This window comes from Homo sapiens, chromosome 22 (genome assembly GCF_000001405.40).
Source record: "Homo sapiens chromosome 22, GRCh38.p14 Primary Assembly".
Lineage (NCBI taxonomy): Eukaryota > Metazoa > Chordata > Mammalia > Primates > Hominidae > Homo > Homo sapiens.
The window spans coordinates 45,302,519-45,330,381 of NC_000022.11; the positions used below are offsets into that span (position 1 = coordinate 45,302,519).

Consider the following 27,863-nt stretch of genomic DNA (forward strand, 5'->3'; position numbering starts at 1 on the left):
GACAAGGGTCTCACTCTGTTGCCCAGGCTGGAGTGCAGTAGCACGGTCTCGGCTCACTGCAACCTCCGCCTCCCAAGTTCAAGCAATTCTCCTGCCTCAGCCTCCCGAGTAGCTGGGATTACAGGTGTGCACCACTACACCTGGCTAATTTTTGTATTTTTAGTAGAGACGGGGTGTCACCATGTTGGCCAGGCTGGTCTCGAACTCCTGACCTCAGGTGATTCGCCCGCCTCACCCTCTTAAAGTGCTGGGATTACAGGCGTGAGCCACCGCTCCTGGCCGCGGGGTATGATGAATTTTTAAAGAAACTGCCAAACTGTTTTCCAAAGCGTTTGTACATTTTTTAGAGAAAACCTTTTTATTTTGAAATGATTCACAGGAAGTTGTAAAAAAGAAATGTACAGGGAAGTCCTGAGCACCTTTACCCAGCCTCTCCCCGTGTTAATGCCTCATATAACTACAACACAGTTATGTCAAAAACCAGGAAATTCAAATTGGTACGATACACAGAGCTTATTCAGCTTTCACTAGCCACAAGTGCTCGTGTGTGTGTGTGTGTGTGTGTGTGTGTGTGTGTAGTTCTATGTAATTTTATCAAATATGTAGCTTTGGGTTACCATCAACACAATCAAGATACAGAACTGCTTCATGTCCACAAGGCTCCTGCACCCCTGCACAGCCACACGCACCGCTTCCCCAGCCCCTAAACCCTGGGAATCACTAATCTGTTCTCCATCTTGACAATATTGTCATTTAAAAACTGTTTTATATGACATTTTGGGCTGGATGATAAAAACAAAATTAAAAATGAAAACAAAAATAAAACAGAAACGGTTCTAGAAATGAATCATAGAGTTTATGTAACTTTAAAAGATTGCCTTTTCTTCATGCAGCATAATTTCCTTGTGATCCATTCAAACGATTGCATATATCAAGAGTGCATTCTGGCCGTACGTGGTGACTCATGCCTGTAATCCCAGCACTTTGGAAGGCCGAGGCAGGTGGACCACCTGAGGACAGGAGCTCAAGACCAGCTTGGGCAACATCATGAAACCCCATCTCTACTAAAAATACAAAAATTAGCCGGGCGTGGTGGCGGGCGCCTGTAATCCCAGCTATTTGGGAGGCTGAGGCAGGAGAATTGCTTGAAGCCGGGGGGTGGAGGATGCAGTGAGCCGAGATCGCGCCATTGCACTCCAGCCTGGGAGACAGAGCAAGATACCGTCTCAAAAAAAAAAAAAAAAAAAAAAAAAAAAAGAGTCCATTCCTTTTTTTAGTTTTTGTAGAAACAGGGTCTCAACATGTTGCCCCGGCTGGTCTTGAACTCCTGTCCTTAGGCAATCTTCCCCCCTCAGCCTCTCAAAGTGCTGGGATTACAGGCGTGAGCCACCGTGCCTGGCCTCTTACTTATCGCTGAGTAGTATTCCACAATATAAATGTGCCACAGTTTGTGTAACCACTCGCCCACTGAAGGACATTTGGGTTGTTTCCCGTTTTTGGCTATTATATCAATAAAGTTTTCATTTCTGTGGGATAAATACCGAAGAGCACAATTGCTGGATGTTTTGGTAAGTGTAAATTACTTTTATGGTTTTTTTTGTTTGTTTTTTTGAGACGGAGTCTTGCTCTGTCGCCCAGGCTGGAGTGCAGTGGCGCAAACTCGGCTCACTGCAAGCTCTGCCTCCCGGGTTCATGCCATTCTCCTGCCTCAGCCTCACGAGCAGCTGGGACCACAGGCACATGCCACCACCCCCGGCTAATTTTTTTGTATTTTTAGTAGAGACGGGGTTTCACCGTGTTAGCCAGGATGGTCTCCATCTCCCGAACTTGTGATCCGCCCGCCTCGGCCTCCCAAAGTGCTGGGACTACAGACGTGAGCCACCGCGCCCGGCGCAAATTACTTTTAAAAGAAACTGCCAAACTATTTTCCAGAGTGACTGTACCATTTTACACTCTCACCTGCAATGTATGGATGGTCCAGTTTCTCTGCATTCTCACCAGCAATTGCAATTGGCATCATCTCTCTTTTTTATTCTAGCCATTCTGGTATTTTTTTTTTTTTTTTTTTTTTGAGATGGAGTCTCGCTCTGTCGCCCAGGCTGGAGTGCAGTGGCGCGATCTCGGCTCACTGCAAGCTCCGCCTCCCGGGTTCACGCCATTCTCCTGCCTCAGCCTCCCGAGTAGCTGGGACTACAGGTGCCCGCCACCACACCCGGCTAATTTTTTGTATTTTTAGTAGAGACGGCGTTTCACCGTGTTAGCCAGGATGGTCTCCATCTCCTGACCTCGTGATCCACCCGCCTCGGCCTCCCAAGGTGCTCGGATTACAGGCGTGAGCCACCGCGCCCAGCCTATCCTAGCCATTCTGGTAGGTGTATAGTGGTATCTCATTGTGTTTTTGATGTGCATTTTCCTAACGAATAATAATGTTGAGGATGCTTTCAGGTACTTATTTGCCATCCATATATCTTTGGGGAAGTATCTGTTCAAATCTTTTGCCCAGTGTGGTTTTTTTTTTTTTTTTTTTTTTTTTTTGAGACAGGGTCTTGCCCTGTCATGCAGGCTGGAGTGAAGTGGCGCGATCTCAGCTGACTGCAACCTCTGCCTCCTGGGCTCAAGTGATCCTTTCATCTCAGACTCCCGAGTAGCTGGGACCACAGGAATGCATCACCACACCCAGCTAATTTTTTTATTTTTTGTAGAGACGCAGTTTCGTCATGTTGCTGAGGCTGGTCTTGAACTCCTGAGCTCAAGCAATTTGCCAGCCTCGGCCTCCCAAAGTGCTGGGATTGTAGGTGTAAGCCACTGTGCCCAGCCTTACACAGATTTTTAAGATTGAGTTGTTGACCTTCTTCTTATTTATTGTTTTAGAGACAGGGTCTCGCTCTGTCACCTAGGCTGGAGCACAGTGGCACAATCATACCTCACTGAAACCTCCCAACTGCTTCACTCAAGCACTCCTGCTGTCTCAGCTTCCCAAGTAGCTGGGACTACAGAGGTACACCATCATGTCTGGCTAATTTTTAAATTTTTTTAGTTGAGACAGGGGTCTCACTATGTTGCCCAGGCTGGTCTCAAACTCCCAGCTTCAAGCAATCCTCCCACCTCGGCCTCCCAAAGTGCTGGGAATACAGGCTTGGGCCACCGTGCCTGGCCCCTTCTTATTGAACTGTGAGTGTTCTTGTTATATTCTAGATTAGGTCCTTGGTCTGACATATATTTTGCAAATTTCTTCAGTCTATGTCTTGCCCTTTAAATTTTGTAGCAACATCTGTCCCTTACACAACTTCATTTGTCTTCATAGCCTCATCACGCCCTGACACCCGGGTTCACTGTCCATTTCCCCACCCACTACGCTGTGAATGGCAGATGGACCTGACAGCAGTAACTTAAGCATACCCTGAAAATGACCCTTTGGTCTAAGAAGAAAGTGTGTTTGGAGTCTTGAGCTAAGGAATCTGGGAGTGGCCAACTAGGAGTCTCACTTCTTTTCTATGAAGAGATCTGAACCCCTGGCCTGTTGGTCCCTTGGAATGCAGGCCGTACAGGGGATCCAGGCCCTTTGTTGTGGCTTAAATGGAGGTTGCTAGGTGGAGAGGGCTCCACAAAAATTGCTATATAAATTGCATGCTTTTTACAAATGATAGTGTTTCTCCTGTCCAGGCCACTGCCACTGGATCACTTTTGTATCTAAGTCCTCAATAAACTCCATGTCTCATTCACTGGCTCTGGGTCTCTTCTTCGGCCTCTTGGACATGGTGCCATTCTTATTGGAGTCAATAGGGGCCTGGCGCACCATGTTGTCAGCTCCACGAGGGCAGTGCTGGTTTTCCCGCTATGTCCTCGGCTCCTTACACAGCGGGTGTTCAGCAGATATTGTTCAGTGCTCCTGCCAGTCCTCCCGGACATGGCGTGTCTTGGTGGCAGGTGACATGGACTGGTGAGTGGAGACCTCAGAGCAGCCTGTTGCAAAACTTCCAGGCCAGCAGTAAGGGGTCCTGAGCTGGGGCACGGGTGGGGTCTGGGGAAAGGAGACGAGCTGACGGAGAAGGAGGGCCAGAGAGACTTTTCCAAGGTGCAGGCTCCCCTCTTCCCTTCCCCTGCCTGCCATACACACCCCGCCTGCTGCTCAGCAATGGCATCACAGCCCCTCCTGCCAGCCTGCCCGGATGCAGGGAGCAGCAGGAGAGTTTCTACAGGAAATAGACATGGGCATGGGTGGCATGTGGGGAGGCTCTAAAAGGCTTGATTAGCTCCTTTACCATGAGTGTGTTTACAGCATGTATGTGTAATGACACACACAGTGTGAGGGTGTATATTGCATGGTGCGTGTTATCTCTGTGGGGTGTGTTCTTGTACACCGGTGCAGGGCATATATGTGTTATGATGTGGGTTTGTCCAGAGAATAAAGCAACAACTTCCTCTCCAGGATGGGAGGACTGTTATGTGGTCTCTGGTGTCCTTTCTGTCCATTCTTTAGAGCATCCCACCAGGGACCCTGCCTGTGAATCTGTTGGCTCTCTCTTTTCTGACAGTGCAAAACAAAGCTCCTTCTGCAGCCAGACAGACCCTGGCAGCAATTCCAAGCAGATGCCCACTTACCAGCTCGGACTAGTTGCTCTAACGCCTCTGAGCCTGTTTTTTGGTCTGTTAAAGGAGATTAATAACACCTACCACGCAGGGTGGCAGCGACAGTGAGGAAAGGTATGCCTATGAAGAGCTTAGAATAGCGCCTGACACACAGTAGGTGCTCAATTCACAGTAGTGTATATGCCCACACACAGGTATGTACATTCCAAATGCACCAACGCCCCTCAAGATACCCTCAATACACAAATAGATTGAGTCTGGGCTGGATGCGGTGGCTCATGCCTGTAATCCCAGCACTTTGGGAGGCTGAGGTGGGAGGATCACTTGAGCCCAGGAGTTCAAGACCAGCCTGGACTGGTGGAGACATGGTGAGACTCTGTCTCCATGAAAAATAATTAAAAATTTAAAAAATATATTTTAATTTGAAAACTTTTAAAAAGGAAAGATATGGACTAGGTCTGGTCGCTGGGCTCCTGACGACAAGGCTTGCTGTGCACATACATCTTCATTAGTGTGAGCTGTGCTCACGTCGGCTGCGTGGAGGCTGGGACAGACACGGACACCCCACAGTGCCCAGTGATGTGTCACACCCACACATCAGCACCACGCTGACCTCTTGCCAACCTGCCATATCTGCCCCCTTATCTACTCAGAATGGTCAAGGTGCCCAGGGGGCAGTGTCTCTCAGTAATTTTCCACAACCTGAGAAAAAGCTGTGTTTCTCTCAGATGTGGGGAAAAGGGGAGCCCTTGTTCCTGAGGCATCCTTCCTGCTGTCCTTGCTCTTGTAAGGCTGACTGGCTGAGTTTTTGGGTGGAGGGGCTGAGGCTCCCAGCCTATCTCAGATGGTGCTGAATGTGGCTGGAGGTTACGATTGCTTTGGTCCCACCACCCCTCAGAGGATGCCCTGCGCAGAGTCTTGGGTCTGACTGACCTCGGCAGCACCCAGCCCATAAGGTCCTGTTAATCAAAATCCTTGCTGGGGCCTGGGAGCTCCATGAGGGAAGGGGCCACATCTCCCACAGGTCTCGGGCTTCAGCACCCAGTACAGGAGCAGGTGTTCATGAACTGAATTATATATCTTTTGCATTAAAAAAAATTTTTTTTGAGACAGAGTCTCGCTCTGTTGCCCGGGCTGGAGTGAAGTGGCATGATCTCAGCTCACTGCTGCCTCTGCCACCCGGGTTCAAGTGATTCTCCTGCCTCAGCCTCCCGAGTAGCTGGGATTACAGGTGTCCGCCACCACGCCCGGCTAATTTTTGTATTTTCAGTAGAGATGAGGTTTTGCCAGGTTGCCCAGGCTGGTCTGGAACTGCTGACTTCAGGTGATCCACCTGCCTCAGCCTCCCAAAGTGCTGAGATTACAGGCGTGAGCCACCGGCCTTTTTTTGCATTTAAGTCGCACCTCCAGGGGTTGGGGAGCTGTATGCAGTGGTGGTTACATGTGTGGGCTGAGGCATGGAACTACACAACCTCTTGGGCCTGAGCTTCCCCTTGTTAAACTGGAATAACAATGAAGACGCCTTCCTCATAGGGTTGTTCCAAGAACACCATGAAGGAACGCATGCAAAGTGCTCAGGGAGTGCCTGACCCCACATACAGAGCACCCAGGGGCTGCCCTCTTCATCCCAGAGTCACTGCTCCCACTGTTTTCTGGGCTCTGGCCCCCCCTAAAATTTCACAGGCCGCTAACACAACACTACCTTCTGTCACAAAATGAGAGCTTTCTGGTGGGCTAGGGTAGGGGGAGATATTAACAGCCAACTTTAAAATCAGGCAGGAAAAAAAGGTGCCAAGGAGACAGGAAGTAATAAATGACTCCAGGTTGGGCAGGGCAGGCTGGGAAGAGGAAGTGGATTGGGTCTTGTTTAGGTAAAAGACTTCAGTGGCAGACAAAGGAGGAGTAATAAGATCGCTAGGGGGCCCGTGCCCAGCCCACCCACGCACAATCTCAGTCCTCGCAATACCCACAAGGTAGGTGCTAGGATCACACCCTTTACGGACGCGGCACCTGCGACAGGGATGCGCGAGGAGTCAGGGGGCCTCGCCGGATCGAACCTAAGCTGGGGAAGAGTATTTCTTGTATTTTTAGGAGAAATTCTCAGCCTCGGGGAAGAGTATTTCTTGATGAGGGAAGAGCGCGGGGAAGACACTCACGCACGCACAAACATGTGGGCGGCCATGGTGTGCCCAGCGCCGTGCTGGCTTCTGGGAACCCCCAGTGGACAAGACGGACAAGGTACCGGCTCTCAGGGGAAGTGGGAGCCAGTCACAAGCGTACCTAATTTCGGAGAGTGACAAGTACTCTGAAAAAGAAAGAAGGTAGGGCTGGTGACTGGCCAATTTAAGCGGGCAGGAGTCTGCTGGGGGACGGAGACCAGCCTCAGGTCTGGGTTGGGGACAGAAGCTGTGCCTAAGTGTGGTGCAGGATGCAGTTGCAAAGGAGCGCTTCCGATCGCACTTGATGCTCGCCACGTCCCTGCAAAGTGCTCCCGCCCCCTTTCTGCAAATGAGGAAACGGGACGCGCGGCTCGCCGGGCCAGGTAGGGCTAGGACGCGGACTCTAGGCCCAAGCGCTCCCCAGCGCAAGCCCTCCCCCGCACATCCGACCGCGCCTGCGCTGGAGACCCCGGGGGCGTGGCCTCCCCGGTGGGCGGGACCGTGGTCACCGAGGTGGGCGGTGCCAGAGGATCTGGCGGCGGGGCGGGGCGGGGCGCGCGTCCTGGCTTCGCCCTTCCCCGGGGCGGGGCCTCCGGGGACCGCGGGGCCGTTGGTTTCGGGACGGAACGTTCACGCGGCTGGGGCGGGCGCGCGGGGGAAGGGTTTGCGGCGGCGCCGCTGCCGGCTAACGCGGAGGGGCGCCTGGAGGCGGCGTGGCGTCCGCTCTGGCTCCGACTCCGGCTCTCGCTCTCGCTTCTAGCCCGCGTGCCTGCGCAGTCCCCTCCCCGAGAACCATCCCCTTGCCCCGCCCAGCGTCAGGGGTGCGCGGCCGCCGAGAGACCCCGGAGGCGTAGCCGGCTGCGGAGGCGAAGAGGTGGCAGCGCGAGCTGGGACCAGCGTCTCGGAGGCGCCGCAGGTGAGGGGGCGGGGCGGGCCCGCGGTCCCTGCATCCGGAGCCCCTGGGGACCCCGAGATCCTCAGGATCCGCCCCGGCCCCGGGGCCACCCCAGGACTCCCTCTCAGCTCTTCCCCTGGAGCCCCTGCCCCCGAGACCCCCTCAGGATCCGCCCTGCCCCTCCAGGCCCGCGAACCCCGAAACTCCAAGATTTTCTCTGGACTCCGAGACCCCCTGAGGACCCCGGCCGCTAGTGGGCCCTGAGAACTGTTGGTTCCGGAAACTCTCGAGGTTCCCTTGGGACTTGCTTCCAGCAACCTCCTCAGAAGCCCCCAGGCCCGGGGCATCTTCCTGTGGGGAGCCGTGGTTCCCAGTGTCCTTAGCCCCGCGAGACCCCGGGTCCCCGTGCCGCCCACCCTGAGGCTCCCTCTCCGACCTGATCTCAGGGCTAGGTTTCTCCAACTTGAGGTCCCTGGACCTGCGGGGCGTGGGTGGAAGTGTTCCCAGGTCTGGTGATAACTTAAGACGGTAACAGCGCGCCCGACGACCACCTCCTAAGCTGTGGTCCCCGCGCCTGCAGGTGCAGGGCCGGGTTTAAGTTTTAATGTTCTGCTGAGACTCAGGTGGCCCCACAGGACAGTCTATAGAGCAGGAGACCTGAGGTGGCCGAGGGCGGCCGAACCGGGGAGGGAGCGAGTTAGGGCACATGGGGACGCTTTTAGGTTGTCTCCTCCTTAATTTTTTCATTCAAGGAACTAACATTTTGTTTTTGAATGCCTGATAGGCTCCAGGAATTGACACTGGAAATAGAGATGAGACGGTCCCTGCTGTCAGGGCCTAGGGACCTGGGGCATAAGACAAGTAGGTCGTTTTTATCTGGAGGAAGCTGTGTCGTCGCTGGCAGGGAACCCATCTGGGTGGGCATGGGATTCTGGGAAGGGGTGGGTGTTAAGGAGGGCGTCTTAGGAGTCGTGGGGAGGAGATGCTAAGCAGCAGGTGAGCTGATTCTTGAAGGTTGAGCTAGAGGAGAAGTTTGCCAGGGTCATTCCAGGCAGAGTTTCAGGGGACAGCCAGTATGTCAAAAGGCAGAGAGGCTGCCACGGCACACAGTGTTGGAAGGCGGGAGGTGTGGCTGGAGCACACCTAATGAAGGTGGCGTGGGAGTGAATGCTAACTGCGGAGAACCCAGCTTTGCTCCCGGAGGCCCACCGTGCCCTTGGCCCTTTCTTGAACGACTGCACCTGCCATTGTCCTGAGAAATGATCCAGCTGAGCTGAAGGAAGGTGGGAGGTGGTCAGGGGGAGAAGTGAGGGAAGTGTCTCGCTAGAGACCTGGTATGGGAGAAGCTGGGACTTTTGCAGAGTACTGGGTTTGAGGTGGGAGTGACAAGAAAGAGGGTGTGATTCTGAGAGCCAGTCAGGACCAAAGCATGCCCAGTTTAAGCTGAGTGGAGGGTTTGGTACTTAAAGGGAGTGGGTGGCCATTGAAGGGCTTTGGGAGGAGAGGGGCGGGAGTTGGTGTGTTTTTGAACCATCCATGTGGCTGTGGTGGGGAGACTTTTTTGGAGGAAGCAAGACCCTATGAGAGATGGGGGTGACCTGGACCAAGGCGGTGGTAGTGGGGGACTGTGGCTTTCTGGAACGGGGCTAAGCTTCTGAAAGCCCAGGCCCAGAAGACTGGTTCCCGCTCTTTCCTGTCTGAGCCTGGGGTCTGAACTTTAAGTGAGGTTTTTGTCCTATTACCGTAGGGTCTGTGGTCGCCTTAGTGCTTCATGGTGACTGTGTGTGTGTGCTTCACCATAGTCTAATGACCACACAGGACGCAGTGGGGCAGGGTGGGGAGAGGCTGAGTCTCAGAGGTGGGCCAGGACCATGCTGGGCTAGGGGTCCTGAAGAGAACCTGTGTGTGGAAAAACCACCCATCGTGCTTTTTCTATTATCTCACTCAACGACAATCAACAGAGATGTCTTCTGTGACCAAATGTGAGGAGAGGTTTCTCCCTGCCACCAAGCGGGCAGTCATTTGTGCAAGAGACACCAACTGGGTATCTTCCAATTCAGTTCTGATACTACCTGGAGATAGCATCAAATCTCGCAAGTTGAGGGCTCAGTCCCCCAAGACTGCCCTCCACCCCTTCGGACACCAGTCACAAGCCTGAGCCTCTGGAACTTCTGATCGATCAGCTTCAAGTTGGGGTTCCCATGACCCTTCCTTAGGTTTGATTAATTTGCCAGTCGCGGTGGCTCACGCCTGTAATCCTAGCACTTTGGTAGGCCGAGGAGGGTAGATCATCTGAGGTCGGCAGTTCGAGACCAGCCTGGCCAACATAGCAGAACCCCATCTCTACTAAAAATACAAAAAATTAGCTGGGCATGGTGGTGTGCACCTGTAATCTCAGCTACTCAGGAGGCTGAGGCACGAGAATCCCTTGAACCCGGAAGGCTGAGGTTGCAATGAGCTGAGATTTTGACACTGCATTCCAGCCTGGGAGACAGAGCAAGACTGTCTCAAAATTGCTATGGAACAGCTCACAGAACTCAGGGAAACACTCAGGTTTACTGGTTTGTTATGAAAGATATCGCAAAGGACACAGATGAGAAGATGCGTAGGGTGAGGCGTGGGGGATGCTGTGCAGAGCTTCTGTGCCCTCCCCGGGGTGTACCATTCTCCAGAAACTTCGGCATGTTTGTATTTATCTCTCAGGAAGCTCTCAGAACCCAGCCCTTTTATGCCTTTTATGGAGACGACTTAAGCATGTAGGCATGCTTAATTAAACCATTGGCCTTTGGTGATCAACGTAATCTTTAGCCCTCTCTTCCCCAGGTTAGTGGGTGGGGCTGAAAGTTCCAAGGATCTAATCCTGCCTTGGTCTTTCTGGTGATAAGCCCCCTTCTGAAGCTGCCCAGGGCCTATCTGCGTCAATCAGCTCATTAGCATACAAAATGACAGCACTTTGGAGATTCCAGGGATTCTAGGAGTAGTAAGACGGGAAACAGGATGAAGACCAAGTAGAGATTTCAACAAAATGCAAAGCTGTTGGAGGGGAGACAAGTTCAGATGTGTCAGAAATTTCCCTCTGGTGACTATGTGGGACTAGAGGACTAGAGGGGCTGGAACTGGAAGCAGGTGCCTTTCAGTGTCAGACATGTCGTGAGGGTTTTTTTTTTTTTTTTTTTTGAGATGGAGTTTTGCTCTTGTTGCCAGGGCTGGAGTGCAATGGTGCGATCTCGGCTCACTGCAACCTCTGCCTCCCAGATTCAAGCGATTCTCCTGCCTCAGCCTCCCAAGTAGCTGGGATTACAGGCGCCTGCCACCTTGCCCAGCTACTTTTTGTATTTTTAGTAGAGACGGGGTTTCACTATGTTGGCCAGGCTGGTCTTAAACTCCCAACCTCAGGTGATCCATTCGCCTCGGCCTCCCAAAGTGCTGGGATTACAGGTGTGAGCCACCACTCCCAGCCAAGTTGTGAGGGCTTTAAGACTGTGGCAGACGGTATGGATTAAACAGATTTAGGAAGAAAAATCTACAGGACTTGTTTGTTGAAGTCTGGGCTTAGGTGAGGGAGAGACAGACTCAGGGATAACTGCACAATGGAACTTCCTGTGGTAACCAAAATGTAATGACTGTTGTCCAGTACACACTGGCCGCTTGTGGCCGCCGAACACTGAAAATATGACTAATGTGACGCAGCTGTTTAATTTTATTTAGCTTTAATTTTAATTAAATCTAGGAAGGATTCCCTATCACACATCTAGGGTGTAGTAGGAAGCACACTGTTCCAGGCTTTGTTCTTTTATTCCATTTAATGCTTCCAGCAACCTTAGGAGGTATAAGATATTCTTTCCTTTGTAGAAAAAGTAAATAGGCTCAGGAATGAGTCCTTGCCCAGGTAGTAAGGAGTTCAGCCAGTACTGATTTGTTGGCCAGGCTGTTGCTGCTGTATCCTACCTCCTTCCCCCAAGGAGCCTGCAGCATCTCCTTGTCAGGAAAATGCCGTCCTCTTGAGTTGGTAGCATTGTTCCTCCATGTGGCCCTCCTTATCTGTTCCCACCCCGCCCCCCAAGCTAACATGGACAGTTGAATGATAAGCACACTGTGCAGGGGCTGGTCTTTTTCCTGGAGCTGCTCTGCCTGCCGCCTCTTCTATCTGCCTAATGGCAACTCTTTCAACATTTCCGGGGAAGGAGAAACTGTAGAAAACTAAACTGTGCCTTATTTGTAATGATTTGGTGGTAAAGAGGTAGAAATGAGTGCCTTAAAGTGTTGGGGTCACAGTGGACCAGACAATGCCCAGGCCGGTGGGAAGGGTATGGGACATGAGCCAGGAGTTACTTTATAGCTTGTTCCCAGCCCCGTGGGGGAAGTTGACAAAGTCACTGTCTCTTAGTCTCAATTTTCACTTCTGAAAAATTAGGGCATTTGGTTTCATGTAACCTTTAAGATCCTGCCCGCTCTGAAATTCTGTCATTTTACATTTTGTTGGAGGTTTACCTTCTAGAACATGTCTTACGTATCCTCTTGAGGTGGGGTAAAGGCAGGTGGGTCCACAAGCCCCTGGCCTCTGTCTTGGCGTGTTTTAACATTGGCTTGTTAAGTAACACGTTTATTTGAGTTAATGTGTCACATCTGGTGGACAAACTGTATGTAAAATGCTGAATGCTTTAGTGGATGGCAGAGTTCCCAGTAAAATATCAGGTATATTTGTTTGCCATTTCAAGCTGCACTGATGTTAGGAAGAAAGGCGCAAGAATATATAATACACAACTTGGGGCTGGCCTGTTAGAAGGGTTCACTATCGGCCTTGGCCAGGCTGTGGGTCATAGGAGTCGCCACCTCATCGGGTTATTGAGGTTAACTGAGATAGTGCGTGTAAAACGCTTAGCATTTTCCCTTGAATCTCTATTAAAGGCTGAAAAAGTGGCAGTAATTAATGTTGCTCTTTGAATTAATTTGTGACCAAATTAAACTAAATTTGAATTAGATTCTTTTTCTAGTGGTGGGTTTTGCTGTTTTCCTGGTTTGGGTGTATACGTCCAAGCAGCTCTGTTTGGTGGGACTGGTTTCAGGAATCCAATTAACTTATTTCCATCATTACAAAATAAGGCATTTTTCCCATTATAATTAAGTTCAACAGAATAAAAAGTAATTGGTTAAGTGGAGTGCGTTCAAATTAAGGGTTCATATTTTCTGTAAATTGAAGAAAATAACTCATCCTGAAGATCCCTTATTATTAGTAATGGCTGAGATTAAGTTTTACCAGAACCATGATTACACTGAAATGTAGTTGTGGTGACTGCCTTGGAAGAGTGGTGCTAGCGTGAGGCGGTTGAGAGTAACAGACACTGTACACTTTATTAAGTGCCTTTCAGATACGCGTCTCCCTTGAATGTCTGCAGCAGCCCCGTCGGTGATGTGCATGTTGGGATCCCCATTTGGGAGATGGAGAAACAGGTTTAGAGAGGTCTACCTGGCTGGGGGAAACAGGTTTAGAGAGGTCTACCTGGCTGGGGGAAATAGGTTTAGAGAGGTCTACCTGGCTGGGGGAAACAGGTTTAGAGAGGTCTACCTGGCTGGGGGAAACAGGTTTAGAGAGGTCTACCTGGCTGGGGAAAGGGTGGTGTTTCCTTGTCTCCAGATCCTGTGTTTTCTGCACCTTAGTCCTAATGCTGCTTCAGGTGGGGGTGTTGTGGTTTCAAGGCTAAGCCTCTCCTTTGCAGTTCCAGAAGCTTAATTTTTTGCCCATTTGTGCCTTGTTTCCAGTTCAGGTGACCCTAGTCATGCTAATCAAACTCACCAGAAACCTATCAGCTGGATCGCAGATGGTTCATTTGTGGTTAGAAATATGACTGTCACATGTGCTTGAAGACTGTTGCTCAGTGATTTGATTTGATTTTTGAGATGGAGTCTTGCTCTGTCACTCAGTGTGGAGTGCAGTGGCACGATCTCGGCTCACTGCAACCTCTGCCTCCCGGGTTCAAGCGATTCTCCTGTCTTAGCCTCCAGAGTAGCTGGGATTACAGGTGCGCACCACCATACCTGGCTTATTTTTGTATTTTTATTAGAGACACGGTTTCACCATGTTGGCCAGGCTGGTCTCGACCTCCTTACTTTAGGTGATCCGGCCGCCTCGGCCTCCCAAAGTGCTGGGATTACAGGTGTGAGCCTCCACATCCAGCCTTGCTCAGTGATTTCTGCCGCCACACTCTTCTCCTCTCCCAAGCCTACGTGGGAACCTGATGGCTGTGAAAAAGGAAGTTTGTGGGAATCACATCTAGAATGAAGGGAGAGGAGGATATTAATGAGCAGGGTCTGGCCGTTGAGCTTCCATAGCATGCAGTCATCTGTCTTGCTGAGGGTCATGCTGGGAAGGGCTTGCTTGAAGGCTCCCGGTCTTCCAGAGCTGCCTTGGTGTAGTCAGAATGCAGTGGATAGATTCTGGCCTCCTTTAAGGACATTCCAGTCCTCAAGATCCACCCTGGCTACACTGATTAAATTTAGTATTTCCCAGCCTCTTGTCTCCTGTCAGTAGCACATTTATAAATGCTTTCTTAGTGTGAGGCGCTTTTGTCACAGTGGCAGTGGTAATATTGGTACTAATAGCCTACTGTGTTGCCGGGCTTTGCTCTAAGGGCTCAACATAAATCAACTCCTTTGTAGTCACAGTGACCTTGTCTGACTTTGCAAATTCTGGGGTCATTTTATGATCACTGTGGATTGACTACAGGTGAGTTAAAGGTGAGCATTCGGAAACTTTGCCGAGTAAATGTGACACCACTCACTCCTGTGTGAGATGGATGTAGTTTGAGCTTATGTTTACTCTGAGTCCCTCTTGCTTCATTGTAATCAGATGCTGCTTGGACACCCTTATCTCCTTGCTTTTTGAAACTGCTCAAAGCCCATGTGATCATCTATTTATAGAAAGAAATTAAGAAAGTTGGGCACAGTGGCTCACACCTGTAATCCCAGCACTTTGGGAAGCTGAGGCAAGTGGATTGCTTGAGGTCAGGAGTTCGAGACCAGCCTCTGACCAACATGGTGAAACCTGTCTCTACTGAAAAACCACAAACTTATCCAGGTTTAGTGGCGTGTGCCTGTAATCCCAGCTACTTGGAAGGCTGAGGCAGGAGAATTGCTTGAACCCGGGAGGCGGAGGTTGCACCAAGCCGAGATTGCGCCATTGCACTCTAGCCTAGGCAACAAGAGTGAAACTCACTCTCAAAACACACAGAAAAGGTTTTCTTAAAGGATACTTTTGAGGATCCCAGAATCTGGACACTTCCAGTTGATGGTTTGTGCTTGTTAAGTGAACATATAGCTTGTAATGGAAAGCGAGTAATTTAAGGTTTTTTTGTTACACCACTTTTAATCATTACAGTTCTTGACACACATTCCCCTCTCCCCACAGAGCCTCGTGATGTTCGTTCATTCGTCCATCTGCTCTGTTTTCCTTGGCACTCTGGGCTTCTCCCTGTCCCGCCAGGGTTTAAACAGCCACAGCCTATTTGCTAGCTCAGCGCCAGGCCCAGGTCCCGGCCCAGCAGGTTCTTATGCCAGGCTCGCTGGGGCCACTCATGCAGTTGTGGCCCAAGGCAGCCTTGCTCTTGTGTGGGTGGATGGTACCTCGGCTGCCCACCAAGTGGCAGGCCAGAGCTCTGCAGGGCAGAATTCCACCGGGACAGGCTCTGTCGTAAAGGGTGTGTCGGACTTGTACTTGCTTCCCGTTATCCCATTTGCCGATATCTCAGTGGCCAAAAAGTCACATGGCTAAGCCTGGAGTCTGTGAGGGGCTGTAGAAGGGTGTGGCTGCCAGCAGGCATGAGGGGCGGGGCCATTAACATCCTACCACGGTAGGGTTGTGAGGTACTTTGTTTTACTACCTGTAAATAACAAGTTCGATTTTGGTAGCTTGTATTTTGCATTGAACTCCGTTTGATGAACGTTTACGTAGTGCTGGATGCCAGGGTTTGAAGAATAAGACAGTCTCTAGCTACTCTATGCTAGTTTATAAAATGCTAGTGATCTTAAGTTCTAAGCAGACAGCATCCTGGTAAGAGTTTGGCTTTGGATTAAAAAAGACAGGAACTGCTTATAAGAATCTCTGCTGGGGCCAGATTTTGCTTTCAGAAATGCTGATAGGTCCTTGAAAAAAAAGAAGGGTTGCTATGATGACTTGGCTCTGGGCCCACACACCGTGGTGACGACATAGTCACTAAGGAAACCGAGAGATGCAGCGTCTGAAAGGCCTCCGAAGGGTTTTGTTACTGTTTTCTGGGATCTGATTGGCTTAGACGGTGTTTGGATGGGAGCAGAACGCTGGAGCTTGCTGTCCTGCTGAAACTTCTAGGACCTGGTGCCGAGTGCTTTTGAGATCACCTTACTTGGATTTTGGTTTAAAAACAAGGGGGAGATTTAGGGTAATTTCTAGATTATTGTGAGATTTGACTCTGATGTTTAGGCTGCTGTAAAACAGGAAATGAGGTAATGTCTTTAAACATGTAGTGTGATAATGAACTGTAAATGTCTAAATATGGGCAACTGTGCAGTTCAAGTTGCAGAGTTGCTGTGTTGAGTTTTTATATAATTGGGTACTTTCCGTGTTGGCTCCTTTGATCCTTAAAAGTATGCATCAGTATTAAAGTCTAGAGGCCCATCTGCCTATTGAGGTTGGACTCCGTGTGGTTGTGTTTGAAATACTGTCTGAGGAGCCAGCACCAGACCTGCAGTTCAGGCTGAGAAAGAGGTTTTGAGCACTTAAGCGAGCCACAGACCACCCAGGAGTGCGAGCTGTGGCCTGTTACGTAAGTGTTAGGAATAGTGTGATACCTCGTTCTTTTGAGAAACTTTGAAATCACTTAATTTCGGAGTTAAATATAGCCTGCAAAAGTTTAATTTGTTCATACTGTTTTTGAAGATGTGTAAATGCAGTATTTAGGATTTGAATTTGTAACCATAATCACTTATATGTGGAGAATCGAAAGCAATTGAACAGTGGTTGAAAGAACTAGAGGTAGATTTTGAAAGTTCTTTACTGTGGTAACAGTTTTAGGCATGTGGTTTTTTTACGTCACTGGTTGACCAGTGCGTGTTTAAAAAATAGTCTAAAATGTCGTGTACAGACGGCTGAACTAAACAAGCCCTTCTCATAGACAGGGAGGAGTAACTATTTGGAAGTGATGTGGATTATTTTGGGGGGCGGGAGTAGGGGGCACTTGAATTAGCCAGCTGATGAGCCCTCTTATCGTCCCCTTCCAAATAGGATTGAACAGGAGTGGCTCCCAAGTCCTGCCCCACAGCAGGAGGCCGGGAGTGTGCAGGCCGCCTCATCCACAGGCCAGAGCCTGAGCTGTTGGACTCAGCAGTTCCAGCTGCCAGAGCACTTTCATACAGAGGCCTGAGCTTTCAAAACTCGGCCCATTGGCAAGAATCCATGTTTTATGGTTAATAAAACTGAGGATTGGTGAACAGTTAAATCAGTCATTGAAATCTCAGGGGTGGGGTCCAGAGTTGCTTATATTATTAATAGATGGTGGAGGGATTATATTATACAGCGGAGAAACTCAACTTCTGTTACTTTCCTTAGAAAGTATCTAGTAGATTAAAAAAACAAAAGATTAGTTTGATGACTGATGTTAACTCCTCAATGGGAAGAAGGATGTGTTAGGGCCAAGCCCCAGCCCGGACTCTGCCAGTCTTTCCCTGGGGCAGGTTACAGGCATCTGTGAGCCTCGTTTTCTTTGCCTGTGGACTGTGATTTCTTAGCATTTGGGGTAAGGTCGCAGACATGTTTGGGAGTTGATGGAAGCTGTGAACTCTCCCTAGGAAAATATATGCATGGACTTAGGTAGTTGTTTACATTTTCAAAGGATAACGGGGATCCCATTTAGCTCTGCGATCTAATGATGCTTATGGACTGATTAAGCCTTGTTTCCTTACCCTGGAAAATTACTTTTGATGACCTGATTCTAGTGGCTGGGTGTGTGTGTGTGAGTGAAGATTACACATGTGAAAAAGTGATTTTTCAGCCAGTTGCTGTGGCTCATGCCTGTAATCCCAGCACTTTGGGAGGCCGATGCAGGCGGATCACAAGGTCAAAGATCGAGACCATCCTGGCTAACATGGTGAAATCCCGTCTCTATGAAAAATACAAAAATTAGCCGGATGTGGTGGCGCAGGCCTGTGCCACTGCACTCCAGCCTGGTGACAAAGCGAGACTCCATCAAAAAAAAACAAACAAACACGTAATTTTTCTTTTTCTTTTCTTCCTTCTTCTTCTTCTTTTTTTTTTTCTTTTTAAGACAGGGTCTCACTCTGCGACCCAGGCTGGAGTGCAGTGGCACAGTCGTGGTTCACTGCAGCCTCAACCTCCTGGGCTCAGGTGATTTTACCATTCAGCCTTCCAAGTAGCTGGGACTACAGATGAGCACCACCACATTGGCTAATTTTTGTATTTTTTGTAGAGATGGGGTTTCCCCATGATGTTGCCCAGGCTGGTCTTGAAATTCTGGGCTCAAGGGATCCTCCCACCTCAGCCTCCCAAAGTGCTGGGATTACAGATGTGAGCCAGCGTACTCTGCCAAAGTCATTTTCAGTCAGTGCTGGTTTGGATGTGGCAAAGCGAGCACTGACGTGTTCTGCTGACCACTTTTCTGGAAAGCGGTTTGGTGGTGTGTGCTAAGATATTTTACAGTGTTCATACTCTCTAACTCAGCAGTTCTTCTCAGAAATCTCTCCTAAATAAATAATTTCACAATATACAGGCTTTGTGCACTAAGTCGGTGGTCAGGGTGTTATACTAACATTCTGCATCAGACATGTGTCAGTAAGAGAGAATTCCATATATATACATTACACTTACATTTATGAATAGTTTTTAATAACATAAAGGAGATGTATTTATTTTAATGCATGAAAAAGTAGGATATGCACTGTGTTCTCAAATTATGTCAATACTTTTGTTTGTTTGTTTATTTTTGAGACGGAGTCTTGCTCTGTTGCCTAGGCTGGAGTGCAGTGGCGCGATCTCAGCTCACTGCAACCTCCACCTCCTGGGTTCAAGTGATTCTCCTGCCTCAGCCTCCCTTGTAAACATTTTTAAAAGAGAGTAGAGGGAATATATAAATGTTAACAGTTACTGCTCACAGGTCATAGGATTATAGGCAAAACCTTATTTTTCTGTATTTTTCCTTGCTTACAGTAGATATTATTTCTAGAATTGGGGGGAAACGCGATTTTGGAAAATTTTTATTTTTTATTTATTTTTTATTTTTGAAACAAGGTCTCACCCTGTTGCCCAGGCTGGAGTGGAGTGGTGTGACGTGGCCATGGCTCATTGCAGTCTCAACCTCCCAGGCTCAGGCGACCCTCCCACCTCAGCCTTCCTAGTAGATGGGACTACAGGCATGCACCACCATGCCTGGCAAATTTTTTTATTCTTTGTAGAGACAGGATCTTGCTGTATTGCCCAGGCCGGTCTTGAACTCCTGAGTTCAAGCAGTCCACCTTGGCCTCCCAAAATGCTGGGATTACAAGCATGAGCCACCATGCCTGGTCTGATTTTGGAAAAATTAAAGAATATGGAGATAGCTTGGTGAAAGAGACCCAGATGGTTTGGGATTTCTGTTTTTATATAAGGTAAGAATTGGCTTTTTACTTGGATGACTTCTTTAGAGTGGATTTCAGTAAGGCCGAGGGGAGGGCTGGTGCCTTGGAGCTGGTGCCGATGCTGAGGATGGCCATGCTCCAGTCCAGTGCTCTGCACCTTAGAGCACTCGTTGGCTTCCTCTGCAAAACCGCCTCTGGCTTCGCTTTGTTGTGCCGCTTGCTGTGTTTTGCTTCTCTGATAAGTCATCTGTGTTCATGTGCACTGGAAATTCTTCTAGAGCAGTGTCCCAAGAGACAGCGAAAACCCCAGCTCGGAGCCCACAGAGCCCATCCTTCATCTGCTCCTGTGTGTGCGTTTTCCTTCTGTGCTGTCCCGTGTAGAACAGCGAGAGTCCAACCAGCCTGATGAGTCTCATGAGATGAGGAATGGTGGCTTAGGAAGCATTTTGGATGTACGTCATTTGCGTATGACATTTTTCAGATATTATAATTTAAGTAAAGATTGAGGACCTTTGATTTTAATTCTAGCCTTAACTATCTTCCAGGGTGCAAATAAAAACTTTTACCTGGGAGACAGAAGTCACTTCTGACTAATTTTTCTCTTTAGAATTCACAGATGGATTCAGTGGAAAAGACAACAAATAGAAGTGAACAAAAATCCAGGTAATTAAAGGCAACTATACCTTCAAGCAGCTTCATTGACTTCATCTAGCGTCTCTCGTGAGTGTGCGCACTCGTTCTTTAGTACCTGCAAGGGCGAAAGTGAAATGGAAACACTGGGGCATGAGAGAACCTCGAGGGCCATTTTCCACCCTTGGCTTCAATGTAAGGAACGTTCCAGAAGGCAGCTTTCTGCCCAGTCTCCAAACCAAGCAACATGTCATTAGAGGTGTCATGTCTAGAACTGGGAGTGTCAGGCTTCCTAAGAAAGAATTCTTTGACTACAGATGGACAGCAGCTTGTGTTTGCTATAAAGTGAAGCGCGATAAAGAGGTACTTACTGTTGGGATTGGTGGGTGGCAGGAAACCAGCATTTGCCAGTAACTGTCTTATCCGTCACTGCAAGCAGGGGTCATTTTGTCATCATCGTTTGTATTCATAACCTGTGTGCAGCTTCAAAGGAATGATATGTATCACTTAAATTGAGCTTAACACTGGGCAACTTAAAATGCATGAGACACAGCTGTCCCACGTCCTTTAAGGAATAAGGGTAGAACATGTGAAATAAATACGCAAAGAAGGATACACAGGCCGTCTCCCCACAGCGTCAGAGGGGACTGTGTGTGTGTGTGTGTGTGTGTGTGTGTGTGTGTACACAGCACAAGGCCGGAACTCGCAGACAGTTCCAGACTTTGTGTTTGCAATGTTTCCGCTTTGACTTTCATTCTCTTGCTCCCTTCTTTTCAAGTAGAAAGTTTTTAAAAAGCCTCATCCGGAAACAGCCCCAGGAACTGCTCCTGGTTATCGGGACTGGCGTCAGCGCAGCAGTGGCCCCCGGAATCCCTGCCCTTTGCTCGTGGAGAAGCTGCATCGAGGCCGTCATCGAGGCTGCAGAGCAGCTGGAGGTGCTGCACCCCGGAGACGTCGCCGAGTTCCGGAGGAAAGTGACAAAGGACCGGGACCTGTTGGTTGTCGCCCATGATCTGATCCGGAAGATGTCACCTGTAAGTGTCAGACAAGTACCTCTTGGGGACAGCTTGGTTCTGCAGCAGGTTGGATGAGTCTGTGAACCTAATGTTAAACTCTGCAGGCCTAACTTGTGTTCAGTGCTCAGCAGAGTCGGGCTGATGAGCCAGAAATCCTTGAGTCCATCGGGGTGTCGTCTTTTAAAATTGAGGGGATGCCAGCCACACTGCAGCGTGGGGCTCCTAAAGTAGCTCCTATTAAATGGAGCCTGACTGTGTGAGATCGTCTCAGGGAGATTGTCCAGCTGCACTCAGTATGAACTTTGTGATTGTATATTCACTTAGTGAAGGGATATCCCTTAGGCGTGTTTGGTGTAAGCAGGCCGGCCATATTTCTTCAGATGACAGGTGCTTCCTAGAAAACATCTGAAGATGGGAGAAGTTCCAGCTTCTTTGTCTGCTGCAGAGATGATCTAGATGATCTAGTTGAGAGGAGAAGCACTGATGATTCAGGAGCTATTCCTGAGCGAGGCCCTGGGGCCGATGGGTCTGGTGCAGGGGAAGGTGCGTGGCAGGCCATTGTTGTCCCCGTCAGCTATGGCGTGTGGCCATAAAGGCTGGGAAGCTGGACCCTATGGCTGGGGCTCTTGGCAGTCATTGTCTTCTTCTGCTCTTGTATTTACTGAAGAGGCACAGTCACCATCTGAGAGTCAGGACGGGAGGAGATGTTGGACGTTTGAACAGAGGAGAGAGCACGAAAAAAAGTGAGCTCGTCACCAAGGAGAGTGGGAGAGTTGAGGTTGGCTGTGAAAGGAGACCTTAAACCACATGGCTTCATGTGAGCACCTTTATAATCCCCACCTAGAGACCCGGGTGGGCAGCCCAAGGAGAACATGGTGGCCGGGCAGGGCCCCTCTTTGCTGGCTCTGCCACCCTCAACAGGCAGCTTCCGTCGGGTGCCCTGCGGGCAGCTGTAAATGATGTGCGTGCGCGGGGAGTGCGTGGAGGAGGGAAGTGCGGGGAGGGGAGGAAGTGGGGGGCTTCAAGGGCCACCACTGAAGTCACATACACCGCTTCTGTTTCATCTCATTGGCCAGAGTTTTAGCTAGGGCTGCACCTAGCAGAGCTTGGGAAATGTTTTTAGTCAGGTGACTCTGCCACTCATGGGTGTTCTATTAATAAGGAACACCTTTCATCACAGGCCAGGGGTTGGAAATGTACAGCCTTGGGCCTGTTTTTGCAAATGAGGTTCTGACAGGCGGCCACACCCATTCATTTACGTATAGTACGTGGCTGCTTTCATGCCTCCAGGCCCAGGTGAGTAGTTGGAACAGAGACTTTCTGGCCCACAAGGCCTAAAATACTTCCTCTCTGAGGCAGGGGCGCGGTGGCTCACGCCTGTAATCCCAGCACTTTGGGAGGCCGAGGCAGGCAGATCACCTGAGGTCAGGAGTTTGAGACCAGCCTGGCCAATGTGATGAAACTCTGTCTCTACTAAAAATACAAAAATTAACCTGGCGTGGTGGCAGGCGCCTGTAATCCCAGCTACTCAGGAGGCTGAGGCAGGAGAATCGCTTGAACCTGGGAGGCAGAGGTTGCAATGAACCAAGATTGTGCCATTGCACTCTATCCTGGGCAACAAAAGTGAAACTCCATCTCAAAATATTTTCTCTCTGGCCCTTGTAGACAACATTTGCTCACCCGTCATAGGAAGAAGAAGGGAGGAGTCGAAGGGAGGCCAGGGAAGGGTAGTGGGGTCGCTGGGCAGCACTGAGGGCCCTTGTTGTCCTTCAGGTGAAGAGAGACTGTTTGTCTAGAATGAGAATCGTTTGTCTTGAAAACAAGTAGTTGAGCATCATTCAACTCTTCTGTTCACTTTTGCGTGTTTTTGAAAACCTCCATCAGGAAGCGTTGAGGTGAGGCTGTCGACACAGCTGTGTTGAGAGTCGGAGAACAGGCATGGGGGAAGCTGAGAGTTGGTTGCATCAGGAATTCCAGCAACACCAGAGAAGGGTGAGGGGCTTGCAAGTGTATTGGGGGAAGTTGTAGTGATCCATTGTAGACTCTAAGCTGCTTGATGGAAGAAGGCAGGACAGGACAGCAGGGCAGCTAGTGACTGGTCAGTGATAGTGGGGTCAGTAGCTCACGGGCCTCAATGGGCTTGAAGTTTCCCTGGGAGCCAGGGTGCTAGAGAGGTGGGCAGATGGGAGGGAGTGGTTGGACAGGGGAAGCTGGCCCAGAGGTTCTGGAAAGGATCCAGGTCTTGGTAACGATAAGGCCTTGGGGGCTGTATGTGTGGATGGCTGAGATGGACCAGGACTATTGGAGGAGAGTGATGGCTGGAATTTAGAGGCCATGATCCCAGGGAGAATCATCCAAGCGGACATGAGAATCACCCCAAATTATGACGGCACAGCTGGAGAGACTCAGCCCTCACCTTCATCGGTGCAGGGAGTGCAGGGGAGCCCCCAGGAAGGGTCTCAGGGATGCATAGAGCCAGGTCTCAGGTCGGGGAGAAGGTGAGCATTCCCAGGAGATGATGGAGATGTGGGGGTTGGCTGATGGCAGACCCCCTGGGAACAGTGGGAGGGTTTGGGTGGTGGGAGAGTCAGAAGAGCTGTGGCGATGAGTGGGAACCTATGAGTCTTGGTTTTCTTGTGCCGGCCAAGCAACACGAACAGGCACAGAGGGCGAGGGGAGGTATTTTGATACCCAGGTGCCGAGGCAGAGGGTGACAATGAGGCTGGGAGCCGGGCAGAGGGGACCCTGTGTCCTCCTGAACCCGCCCCCACCCCGCCTCTCTGTCCCCTCCCAGCAAAGCTCTGCAGCATGGTTGCTGCATCTGCTGTCACCAGCCCTTCCTTTTTCTCTTGAAGCCATCCCAGCCAGGCTTTGGCTGTCAAGGCCCCTTGGAGACAGCTCCTGTCAAGGCCACCGGTGAAACACTGAGGCTGCTTCCGGAGGCCAGGCCTCAGTCCTGATCCTCTTGTGTCTCTCAGAGTATATGCGGCACTACGGGCCAGGTGTGCTGGCTCATGCCTGTAATCCCAGCACTTTGGGAGGCCAAGGTGGGCAGATCACTTGAGGGCAGGAGTTCAAGATAAGCCTGGGCAACATAGCGAGACCTCGTCTCTACAAAAAATAAAAAAAAATTTAGGCCGGGTATAGTGGCTCACGCCTGTAATCCCAGCACTTTGGGAGGCTGAGGCAGGTGGATCACCTGAGGTCAGGAGTTTGAGACCAGCCTGGCCAACATGGTGAAACCCCATCTCTACTAAAAATACAAAAATTAGCTGGGTGTGGTGGTGCGCACCTGTAGTCCCAGCAACTTGGGAGGCTGAGGCAGGAGAATTGCTTGAACCAGGAGGGGAGGTTGCAGTGAGCCAAGATCACGCCACTGCATTTCATCCTGGGTGACAGAGCAAGACTCTGTCTCAAAAAAAAAAAAAAAAAAAAAAAGTTAAAAAATTAACTAGGTGTTATGGTGTGTGTGCACCTATAGTCCCAGCTACTTGGGAGGCTGAGGTTGGAGGATCACTTGAGCCTGGGAGATCAAGGCTGCAGAGGGCCGTGATCGTGCCACTCACTGCACTCCAGCCTGGGTGACAGAGTGAGACTCTGTCTCAAAAAATAAAATAATAAAATGAAAAATGAAATAAAATAATATAAAAAATTAAATTAAAAAAATTTTTAAAAAATATAATGAGTTGGGTGTGGTGGTGGCACCTGTAGCCCTAGCTACTTGGGAGGCTTAGGTGGCAAGCTCGCTTGGGCCCAGGAGTTGGAGGCTGCAGTGAGCTATCCTGGCACCACTGTGCTCCAGCCTGGATGACAGAGCAAGGCCCTATCTCAAAAAAAGAAAAAGAAAAAAGAAACACTGCCTCCCGCCTCATTGAAGGTGCCACGAAGACACGCTGTTTCATTACCACCGAGAAAGAGAAAACTGGGACTGTGCAGCGCTCAGGGAAAGCCAGAGTCTTTACAGTGGTCCTCAAGGCCCAGGTCATCTGCTTCTGCTGCCGACTCTTCCCCTCACTCCTCTCCTGCCTCCGTGGCCTCTTGCTGACCTGGGACGTACCTGAGCCGTGACCTCAGTGCTGTGGCCCTTGCTCTTCCCTCTGCTTAGAACATTCTCCACGAGCCCTCACCTCCTCAGGCCCCTGTTCAGATGCCCTCTTCTCAGAGAGGCTTGCCTAGTGTCTTGGTCCTGTCCACCTCCCCTGACAGCGCCTGCCCCCGTCTCTGCCGTGCTTTCCTGTGGCAGCGTCACCGGTGGCGTGCTACACGTGAGCATCCCCTGTCCCCCTGCTCTGGGGTTGCGGCGCACGCTGTGAAGCCAGATTTTCTTTGTTTTCAGCCGCTGTATCTCTGGCACCCAGAAAATGGCCTGCTTAGGTGCTCAGTAGTTGTTAAGAGCTGATGTTTTGGTAACTGTCGTTCCACCTTTTTGTAGCGCACAGGCGATGCCAAGCCCAGCTTCTTCCAGGACTGCCTGATGGAGGTGTTTGACGACCTGGAGCAGCACATCCGGAGTCCTGTGGTGCTGCAGTCGATCCTCAGCCTGATGGACAGGGGCGCCATGGTCCTGACCACCAACTATGACAACCTGCTGGAGGCCTTTGGCCGGCGGCAGAACAAGCCCATGGAGTCCCTGGACTTGAAGGACAAGACCAAGGTATGGGCTGGGGGTGCGGGAGGCCTTTGGCCGGCGGCAGAACAAGCCCATGGAGTCCCTGGACTTGAAGGACAAGACCAAGGTATGGGCTGGGGGTGCGGGAGGTCTTTGGCCGGCGGCAGAACAAGCCCATGGAGTCCCTGGACTTGAAGGACAAGACCAAGGTATGGGCTGGGGGTGCGGGAGGTCTTTGGCCGGCGGCAGAACAAGCCCATGGAGTCCCTGGACTTGAAGGACAAGACCAAGGTATGGGCTGGGGGTGCGGGAGGCCTTTGGCCGGCGGCAGAACAAGCCCATGGAGTCCCTGGACTTGAAGGACAAGACCAAGGTGTGGGCTGGGGCTGCGGGCAGCCTGCAGGTGTGGGGAGTTCTGTGCCCTGGGAGCTGCTCTCACTTTGTAGCAGTGAATTACTAATAAAGTAGCCAGGCATGGTGGCGCCTGCCTGCAGTCCCCGCTACTGGGGAGGCCGAGGTGGGAGGATTGCTTGAGCCCAGGAGTTCCAGACTGAAATGAGCTATGATCATGCCACTTATTCCAGCCTGGGTGACAGAGTAAGACCCTTTCTCTTAAAAAAAAAAAAGTAATAATGGAAAGTGGCACACTGGCAACTTGGGAGGCTGAGGCAGGAGAATAGCTGGAACTGGGAGGGAGATGGTTGCAGTGAGCTGAGATCACTGTACTCCAGCCTGGGCAAGAGAGTGAGACCCTGTCTCAAAAAACAAAAGAAAAAAAAAAAGAAATACCTGAGACTGGGTAATATATAAAGAAAAGAGCTGTAATTGGCTCACGGTTCCACAGCTGTCTAGGAAGCATAGCAGCATCTGCTTCCGGGGAGGCCTCAGGAAGTTTCCAATAGTGGCAGAAGGCAGAGTGGGAGCAGGCATGCCACATGGCAACAGAGAGAGTGGCAGGGGGGTGGTGCCACATGCTTTTAAATGACCAGATTTCTCAAGAAGTCACTGTCACGAAGATGGCACGAAGCCATGAGGGATGATCCTGCCCCGTGATCCAAGCACCTCCCACCAGGCCCCACCTCCAGCACTGGGGATCACAGTTCAGCATGAGATTTTCGTGGGGACAAATGTCCAGACTATATCAGTTAGCATATATTTACAGTTATAAATAACACTACAGGGTCCTCATACTTTTATGTCCTGTTTTCAAGATGAATTCCTAGAAGAGTTTTATGGTCAAAAGGTATGAATGTTTTAAAGACTGATGATGTAAATTACCAAATTGTTTTCCAGAAGGAGCACCAGTTACACTCCCGGTAGTGGCTGAGTGTGGGAGTATCCATTTCCTGTATCTTGCCAACACATGGTGTTATTAAGAAACAAAATGAAATACACCTTGTCCATTTGATAGCTGAAATTTTCAACATTGATTTCTTGTGTTACTAAAGGTTGAGCGTAGTTTCATGTGACTCTTGATATTTCTTTTGTGACATACTTGTGACCTTTGTGTGTCTGCTTATGTTATTCATAACTAACACTGCTGCCTGTGTTGTCTGGGCTGCCTTGTGAGGTAAGGCCCTGGCCCCGCTCTGTGTACAAAGAGACTGAATTACGGGGCACGGGGCAGTGTACACGGGGGCAGGGCCGCCTGAGGGGAGCGGGCAGGGCCAAGGCACCCACTCCTGCCGGTAGTGCCATGGAGTAGACATCTGCTCTCTGCGTCTGAGCCACATGGTCCCCACTGCTGGGGCTTGCTGTTGGAAACAGACAGCCAGTTGCATAAACAGAACTGCCAGCTGGCTCACCGCCCAGTGATGGCAGCAGGGCTGTTGGTGTTTGTGTCCATTCCACCTGCTGCTGTGCGGGCTCCGGGGTGAAGATGACTTGACAGTGACCCGATGGGCATCTTTGTAAGGTCCCGTGTTCTGTATCTTGATAAGGTCCTGCGTTCTGTATCTTGAACTGAAAGGAATGCACTTAGCCATTTGATAAATACTTTTCTCCACATACATATGTATATTTTTTTCTGGGTGTGTAGAAGTAATACAGAAATAGCAGTAATTAAAATATAACATATAACTTAGAAGTGAAAGTCCCCATAGCCCACCTAAAGTAATCACTCTTAACAGTTTGCTGTAACCTCAAGTGTTAAAGACATTTTCTATGTAACTGTCTGTCTTTAAATAAGTCCTTTTTTTCCACCCTGAGACAGGGTCTCACTTTGTTGCCCAGGCTGGTCTCGAACTCCTGAGCTTCAAGTCTTGGCCTTGGCCTGAGTAGCTGGGATTATAGGTATGAGCCACCCAGAAGCTCTTTTGCTATCATGGGACCAGCATGACTGGCGCTAACAGCCGATCCTCTCT

General features: G+C 50.1%; 1 protein-coding gene across 24 annotated transcripts in view, besides 4 other annotated features; it reads left to right on the forward strand.

Annotated features, from left to right (window-relative positions):
• Positions 1-6,441: 6,441 nt before the first annotated feature.
• Positions 6,442-27,863, forward strand: part of FAM118A (family with sequence similarity 118 member A) — a 32,996-nt gene continuing 11,574 nt past the window's right edge. For 4 of the 24 annotated variants that reach the window (XR_007067975.1, XR_007067976.1, XM_017028842.1 and 1 more), the window contains exons 1-3: positions 19,529-19,697; positions 19,853-19,908; positions 20,654-20,909. Coding sequence is in view for 21 of the 24 variants with exons in the window: in XM_017028842.1 (XP_016884331.1) it covers positions 19,665-19,697; positions 19,853-19,908; positions 20,654-20,909 (345 nt within the window). In the remaining 3 variants the exon portion in view is untranslated. Of the gene's footprint in view, positions 7,133-7,415; positions 7,666-15,930; positions 16,123-19,083; positions 19,276-19,523; positions 19,698-19,852; positions 19,909-20,653; positions 20,910-21,558; positions 23,959-25,323; positions 25,982-27,863 lie in introns of those variants that run through there. The other 20 variants (NM_001349915.2, XM_047441433.1, NR_146323.1 and 17 more) reach the window with 19 other exon arrangements.
• Positions 7,082-7,761: a silencer, noted in NCBI's record as "silent region_13881". NCBI's record gives its function as "represses an Ori minimal core promoter by ATAC-STARR-seq in GM12878 lymphoblastoid cells {active_cell/tissue: GM12878}" and the evidence as "EXISTENCE:reporter gene assay evidence [ECO:0000049][PMID:35858748]".
• Positions 8,478-9,286: an enhancer, noted in NCBI's record as "H3K4me1 hESC enhancer chr22:45706877-45707685 (GRCh37/hg19 assembly coordinates)". NCBI's record gives its function as "activates a minimal SCP1, AML or CMV promoter by ChIP-STARR-seq in primed H9 embryonic stem cells {active_cell/tissue: H9 hESC(primed)}" and the evidence as "EXISTENCE:reporter gene assay evidence [ECO:0000049][PMID:30033119]".
• Positions 15,964-16,013: an enhancer, noted in NCBI's record as "active region_19226". NCBI's record gives its function as "activates an Ori minimal core promoter by ATAC-STARR-seq in GM12878 lymphoblastoid cells {active_cell/tissue: GM12878}" and the evidence as "EXISTENCE:reporter gene assay evidence [ECO:0000049][PMID:35858748]".
• Positions 16,064-16,133: an enhancer, noted in NCBI's record as "active region_19227". NCBI's record gives its function as "activates an Ori minimal core promoter by ATAC-STARR-seq in GM12878 lymphoblastoid cells {active_cell/tissue: GM12878}" and the evidence as "EXISTENCE:reporter gene assay evidence [ECO:0000049][PMID:35858748]".